Source organism: Homo sapiens, chromosome 11, assembly GCF_000001405.40.
Source record: "Homo sapiens chromosome 11, GRCh38.p14 Primary Assembly".
Taxonomy (NCBI): domain Eukaryota; kingdom Metazoa; phylum Chordata; class Mammalia; order Primates; family Hominidae; genus Homo; species Homo sapiens.
Window position 1 is genome coordinate 45,740,801 of NC_000011.10, and position 7,274 is coordinate 45,748,074.

The 7,274-nt window shown below is 44.6% G+C and overlaps 3 annotated features.

Annotated features, from left to right (window-relative positions):
* Nucleotides 2,629-3,195: an enhancer, noted in NCBI's record as "H3K27ac-H3K4me1 hESC enhancer chr11:45764980-45765546 (GRCh37/hg19 assembly coordinates)". NCBI's record gives its function as "activates a minimal SCP1, AML or CMV promoter by ChIP-STARR-seq in naive H9 embryonic stem cells {active_cell/tissue: H9 hESC(naive)}" and the evidence as "EXISTENCE:reporter gene assay evidence [ECO:0000049][PMID:30033119]".
* Nucleotides 3,332-3,833: an enhancer, noted in NCBI's record as "H3K4me1 hESC enhancer chr11:45765683-45766184 (GRCh37/hg19 assembly coordinates)". NCBI's record gives its function as "activates a minimal SCP1, AML or CMV promoter by ChIP-STARR-seq in naive H9 embryonic stem cells {active_cell/tissue: H9 hESC(naive)}" and the evidence as "EXISTENCE:reporter gene assay evidence [ECO:0000049][PMID:30033119]".
* Nucleotides 3,834-4,333: an enhancer, noted in NCBI's record as "H3K4me1 hESC enhancer chr11:45766185-45766684 (GRCh37/hg19 assembly coordinates)". NCBI's record gives its function as "activates a minimal SCP1, AML or CMV promoter by ChIP-STARR-seq in naive H9 embryonic stem cells {active_cell/tissue: H9 hESC(naive)}" and the evidence as "EXISTENCE:reporter gene assay evidence [ECO:0000049][PMID:30033119]".

The window sequence follows — 7,274 nt, forward strand, 5'->3', positions numbered from 1 at the left end:
CTGAACACTTATTGAGCACTTACCTTATAAGCATAGTAGTTCATGTAATCCTCGCCACAAACTGAGAAGTCAATCTATGTGGGTTCCTTCCATTTCACAGATAAGGGGAAATTGGAGCTCAGAGATTTAAGCCACCTGCCAGAGGTCACATGGCCCATAAAAGGTAAACCAGGATTCACACTCAGGTCTGCGTGACCCCACACACCAAGCTCAACACTGCCGTTATGGATAAATTTGCCCCCTACCCACACACACATATATGTTTTGCCCAGTTACTCAGAAAACACATTTTCTCACCTGTATTTTGCACTTCACTTTGCCTGCCCAGCCACTGCCTTTAACTGACACAACTCAAGGCATAGGGGCAAGCGATATTAGCTCAGGAAACCTGAGCTGTGACCCTGAGCTGCTGACAGAATGTCTGATATTTATAGCAACTTAGAGTCAAGCACCAGGAAAAGTGTGTTCTGGACTATTGCAGATGTCCTCAGGGAGAAAGAAAATATCTCTATGAAAAATCATGTGGGATGCTTAACTGATGGAACATCAAACATGAAAAGACAGTTCAATGGGTTTGCATCGGTTAAAAAATAATAGTAAAAGCATGACCCAGTCAACCTCTGTGGATAACATTCTTCAAACGTTTAGGATATAGCCACAGGAGAAGACCCATCACTAGTTGAATTTCTAAATTGCCACCCTGTACTTTAACTATCTTACTTATGCATTTTGTTATTGATTTAGATCTGTCCCATTCCACCAAGGATTTAAGGCTAAAGATTTAAGTTGTGAAGATGATAATGGATTGACTCTATGAATGGCCACATTTTTTTATGCCTCCCTTTTCCCTTGTCCTCGGGCAGTGTCCTCCGACACTGACTCTGTGCTTGGCCCTGTGACTTGCTTTGGCCAATGGTACAGCAGCAAACTTGATGCAAACACAACTTGAAAAAGAAGAGGACAGCCAAGTCATCCCAGCCAAGGCCACCCTGGACCAGCCAGCCTCTTGCCAAGCTGCCAGTGACCACAGAGTCCAATTAACAACAGCCAGTCCTGGCCCAGGTCAGCACACCCATGAGAAAGAACTTGCTATCATTTAAAGCCATGGGTTTGGGGGTGGTTTGTTGCACAGCAATAACTAACTAATACAGAAACTTACATTCTACAAAAATGCTATTAATCAACAAGCATATTAAGATGCAATCTCGGCCTGGTGCAGTGGCTCACACCTGTAAACCCAGTACTTTGGGAGTCGGAGGCGGGTGGATCACCTGATGTCAGGAGTTCGAGACCAGCCTGGCCAACATGGCAAAACCCGGTCTCTACTAAAAATACAAAAATTAGCTGCACATGGTGGTGGCCGCCTGTAATCCCAGCTACTCGGGAGGCTGGGGTAGGAGAATTGCTGGAACCCAAGAAGCGGAGGTTACAGTGAGTCGAGATCACGCCATTGCACTCCAGCCTGGGTGACAAGAGTGAAACTCCATCTAAGGAAAAAAAAAAGATGCGATCTCCACCGCTAGAAACTTTGTATTTACTTGTGGCAAGACAGAAAAAGGAAAAATACCAGGGAGATCTAATTAAACTATGTCAAAATTGTTTATATCCTATTCCCTCTACCAGGCCAAGCTCATATGCCAATTTCCTCATGGAACCTTTCACTCCTCCATCTCTTCGCCAAGTTGAAATGTTAACTTCTGCTTCTCTGGGATACTTCGGACCTTTGTTTAAAGCTCTCCCATCTGCTTTCTGCGCTATGTTTAGGGTTATGTCTGGATGGGAATAGGTCTGTCTCTTGCCACTACTGGTAAAATTGGTTCTTGCTTAGCATGATGTGGGCTCCCCACATCTGGCACAGTGACTTGCGCAGGTATGAGCAATCTTGATCAATGTTTGTTGAATGAATAGGCAAATAACTATTGTAAGAGTTTAGCATGAGGGAAAACTCCAACAGAAGTGTGGTAGTCAAGAAGGGTTGAATTAAGGAAGGAGGAGTTAATGTCCTTGACAGGGGCCTCCCATTAAGAACTCATAGAATTCATGGACAGAAGAATTTAGATGAGGAAAATTTTACATCTTCAGATTCACTGATCTCTGAAACTTCACATTTTCTTCCATTATAAATGTAGGCTACAAACCACAGAAGTAGATGTAACAGATACTTTGCTATCACACGTAATGTTGCAGATATTGGAGAGAGGAACAAAATATAATTTATGTTCATCACTACTGTACTTTGAAATTATAGTGGCTTTTTGGCCAGGCATGGTGGCTCATGCCTGTAATCCCAGCACTTTGGGAGGCAGAGGCAGGTGGATCACTTGAGCCCAGGAGTTTGAGACCAGCCTGGGCGAGACCTTATCTCTACAAAAAATAGAAAATTTAGCCAGATATGGTGGCATATGCTTGTGGTTCCAGGTACTCGGGAGGCTGAGGTGGGAGTATCTCTTGAGCCCAAGAGTTCGAGGCTGCAGTTAGGCAAGATTGTGCCACTGGACTCCAGCCTGGGTGACAGAGAGAGACCCTGAAAAAAAAAAAAAAGAGGAAAGGAAGAAAGGAAGGAAGGAAGGAAGGAAGGAAGGAAGGAAGGAAGGAAGGAAGGAAGGAAGGAAGAGAGAGAGAGAGAAAGAGAGAAAGAGAGAGAGAGGGAGGGAGGGAGGAAGGAAGGAAGGAAGGAAGGGAAAGGAAGGAAGGAGGGAAGGAAGGAAGGAAAAGAGAAAAGAAATTGTGTTTTTTTATGTTAATAAAGGAAAGTATTCTTATATCATAAATTTGGTTTTTTGAATACTTTAGTAACTGTTTTCAGTTTCTTTTATAATCCTGTGTATTTTATATCTTTCAAATCATTTTTTGGAAGACAGGCCTAATAGGCTTTATCAGACCATTAAATGGTGCCCATGGCACAAAAGTGGTTAAGATCTCCCTGCCTTGGAGAATAGGTAGATTGTTATTACAGCGATGGGAGGGAAGTATACATCCCAAATAGATGACCAGAACAGCATAAACCAAGATACAGGTGGGGAAGAGTATGAGATGCATGGCGGGATGGAATGTGCCTCCCCTCCCCATCCTTGAGGAGAAAGTCTCCTTGGCAAGATTAAGTAAAAAGACAGCGACTTTATTAGCATAATAATGCATCAAGGAGCAAGAGAATAGTTGATTTGTTTTAGACATGCTCTAAGAATCTGGAGAATTTAAATTCTGAAGGCTCTAACGTCTCCTCTGCAGGGTGGAGCCAAGACTCTGAGGAGAGGGCTGAACTGTGAACCTAGAAGTACCATCTCCCCCTGCACACACCTTTGGTCAAGTTGACCCCAAGAAGAAGGACAAGTCCTCTGCACGGCGATGAGGCCATACACACAGTCTGTGGCCCGGCTTTGGGAGACTGATGGGACAAAGGATGTTTTGCACGATCCTTGGTCTCTGAGCAAATATATACATGGGTTAACACAAAGGCTCTCTTTTTGAAAAATGTGACTGTGAAAGTGTGCCCTCCCAGATATTCCAGGCATAACACAGGAGTGACTGCATGTTTGGGGACAGTGCGGAGGCCACTCTGATTAGATCAGAGGATGTGGACTGGTTCATGATGTAAAAGCTGAAGGGAGGCCGGGCACAGTGGCTCACGCCTGTAATCCTAGCACTTTGGGAGGCCAAGGTGGGTGGATCACGAGGTCAGGAGATCGAGACCATCCTGGCTAACAAGGTGAAACCCCGTCTCTACTAAAAATACAAAAATTAGCCAGGCGTGGTGGCAGGCGCCTGTAGTCCCAGCTACTGGGGAGGCTGAGTACTGGGGAGGCTGAGGCAGGAGAATGACGTGAACCTGGGAGGCAGAGCTTGCAGTGAGCTGAGATCGCGCCACTGCACTCCAGCCTGGGCAACAAAGCGAGACGCTGTCTCAAAAAAAAAAAATGCTGAAGGGAGGGTGGTAATGAAGGGAAGAAGACTCCAGGGTTTCAAGTGCCATGGATTAAGGGAGGGAGTAAAGGCAGAGGGCCAGGACAGATGGTTGGATCTGTCTTAGAGGTGAGGTACCTTCAAGATGCCTCAGGGAAAATGGCCAGTAGTCCATCAGGACTCAAGAGTAAGACTCCAGGAAGACACTTGAAATGGGAAGAGAGCTAAGAAAATAATCCACATAGAGGTGATCATTAAAGGCGTAAAGAATAAAGCAATAACGTAAAAAAAAAAAAAAAAAAAAAAAAAAAAAGCAAGGACTGAACTTTAGGGAACAAGTAAGTAGGCTTCTTTTGTGTCCCAAAGCCAGAGAACGAGAACATTTCAAGAAGAGGGGTTAAATTCAGCCTGAAGAAGGAAGTTGCACAAAATCTCTGGATGTGGCTACCGGGAAGGCCTTGGTGAATTCTGAGCGAGCCGTTCCCACGGAGGGAGCAGTGGATGGAGGCCAGCTGAGGACTGCCGGGGTAGAGGGTGGGTGGAGCAGCCAAGGGAGACAGGAGAGGGTGGGAGCCAATGAAACGGAGAGAGGGAGGCTAGGAGATTTGCAGGCCAACAGCATCACATTAAGTTTCTTTTTAACAAGACGATCCAGTTTTTCATTAGAGAAAGAAGGAAACTGCAAATCAGGGGTATTTAAAGGTCGTGTGAAAATCACGAAAACCTCAAGTTGAATCTGTTCCCACCTAAATAACTTTTGTTTAGAAACCAAGCAAAGCCACTGAAACCATCTCAGCACAAATCCCAAAATGGAATTATTCGGATGTCTCTGAAATGGTGTAGGTGCCATGAGCCACTGTGCTAATATGCAGTGTGTCCACACAGAGCCCAGGGCCCAGTGGTGTCAGAGACAAAGGCCAGAGCTTCCCAGAAAGTTCCATAAGGACAGGAATTCAGGAAGTGGGGTCAAGGGAAGAGCTGCTGTCACTGAATATACTGCAGCTTAAGAAAATGATCCTGTTTAACCAGCACCTACTATGGGCTAGGCACTTCACCGACATTTTTCTCATCCTGAACAAGACTACGAAGTATTTTTTCTGTTACTATCCCCACAGTGGAGATAAGGAAACACAGGTTCAGGGTAAGTTGCCTCAAACCCACAGTTCGTAAGTGGCAGAGATAACCTTGGAGCCCAGGTATATCTGCCTCTAACCCCACCGTGTTCCCATCCGGCCTGGAACCTCACCCAAACACACTGGACCCTCAAAAATAAAAAAATGAATAAATAAATAAATAAGTGTCATTATCACCTGTAACAGCCAGTAAAAGACAAGTGCCCCTTGATGTGAGTGCAGCATAACTTTCCCAGTTTGACCTCTTCAAAAGTTGGGTTTTGTTGTTTTTTAAATTATCCTGAACTTGACAAACTTTATTTTAAAAAAAAAATTCACTCACTTAGTCTTTGAGTAAATGAAGAATAGGGCCATGTGTCAGTGCTGGGGACACAAGCCCTGTGCTCAAGTTGTCACAGAGAGAGAAGGCTCAGGACAGCAGGGTGGTGGGGGGGCATCTTCCTTCATAGAGGAGAGAATATGAGCCAAACCTATTTGTCTAAATTTGTTTTTATTTTCATCAAAGTATTACCTATAAATCTGAAAAACCAAATAGTGCCCCAAAAAGCTTACAATTGAAAATGGAAGTCTCCTGTTTCCTATCCTTTCACCTTGTTTCCCCAAAGCTGTCTCTGCTGTTATTTCTATCCCCATCTCTAAATAATACATGTATTCTTTAAGCCAGGTGCGGTGGCTCATGCCTGTAATGCCAGCACTTTGGACAGCCAAGGCTGGTGAGATCACTTGAAGCCAGGAGTTCAAGACCAGCCTGGGCAACATGTTGAAACCCCATCTCTACTAAAAATACAAAAATTAGCCAGGTGCAGTGGCACATGCCTGTAGTCCCAGCTACTGGAGAAGCAAAGGCAGGAGGATTTCTTGAGCCCAGGAGGTGGAGGTGTCAGTGAGCTGAGATCAAGCGACTGCACCCCAGCCTGGGTGACAGAGTGAAACCCTGTCTCTAAATAAATAAATAAATATATAAAACTAAATAACATGTGTATTCTTCAATCTCTTGGCTCGTCATCTCAGCCTCGTTGTGTTTAGAGAAATTTTTCTTCCATTCCCTCTTTTCCTCCCCTTATGCTCCCAAAATAATATCTCAATCTTTTAAAATCCACATTCCACATTTTCACTTTTATAAATACACAAATATTATCTTATTCCTGGGCCAAGTAGCACACTATGATCTTATTTCCTTTCCTTTTTGTTCTTCCTGTTAACAATTACCTCATTTTTCATCAACTTAGTACGGTTTGTTGTTGTTGTTGATGATGAAAACAATTGATGAAATCTTTCCATGCCTCAATATAATTTTCCACATCACCAAACCTGTCAGATCATTTGTTAGGCCGAGTTTTCTTCCTGAGGACAAACTCCCCCAGCCACTAGAGCCTTCTGACTTCTGCTGATCTAGGCAGCTTGCTCTCTGGTCCAAGGCATAGCTGTCTCCTTGTGTCCCTGGAGCCATGACCCAAGGAATTCCCTTCTCTCTTCCCTCCTCTGTTGCAGTCCTTGTTTCTGGATCTAACTTCTTTCTTGGAGCCCTGATTTAAGTTAAACACATCCTTCAGCAGTTCCCTAAGAAAGGTACATAGGAGGCAAGTTATTTGAAGACACAATATGTCTAGAAAGCTCTTTATTTCTCCCATCATGTTTAACTGACAGTCTGGGTTGGTGTGGAATACTAGTTAGAAAAACATCTTCAGTCAGATCTGTTTTTTGCTTATTTTGAGACAAAGTCTCACTGTCTCCCAGGCTGGAGTGCAGTGGTGTGATCTTGGCCTCCCGGGTTCAAGAAATTCTCCTGCCTTAGCCTCCGAAGCAGCTGGGACTACAGGCCTGTGCCACCACAGCCGGCTAATTGTTGTATTTTTAGTAGAGATGGGGTTTCACTATGTTGGTCAGGCTGGTCCCCAATGCCTGACCTCAAGTGATCCACCCGCCTCAGCCTCCCGAAGTGCTGGGATTACAGGCATAAGCCACCGCTCATGAGCCAGTCTTAGTCAGAATTTTGAAAGGCATTGCTTCCTTGTCTTCAAACTTCCAGTGTCACTGTTGAGCAGCCTGATGCCATCACTCCAGAGGTTTCCTGTGCGGAGCTGGGACTAGGACGAAGTGAGTGAAGCACCCATCTGAGATGCAAACATGCAAGGGAGTGCCAAAAAATTCACCCATTGAAATGTCAATTTCAAATAAAGACGAGATCCAAACCTACGCTTATTCAGCTTGACCTCACTCACATCGCCCAAATCCCAGTCC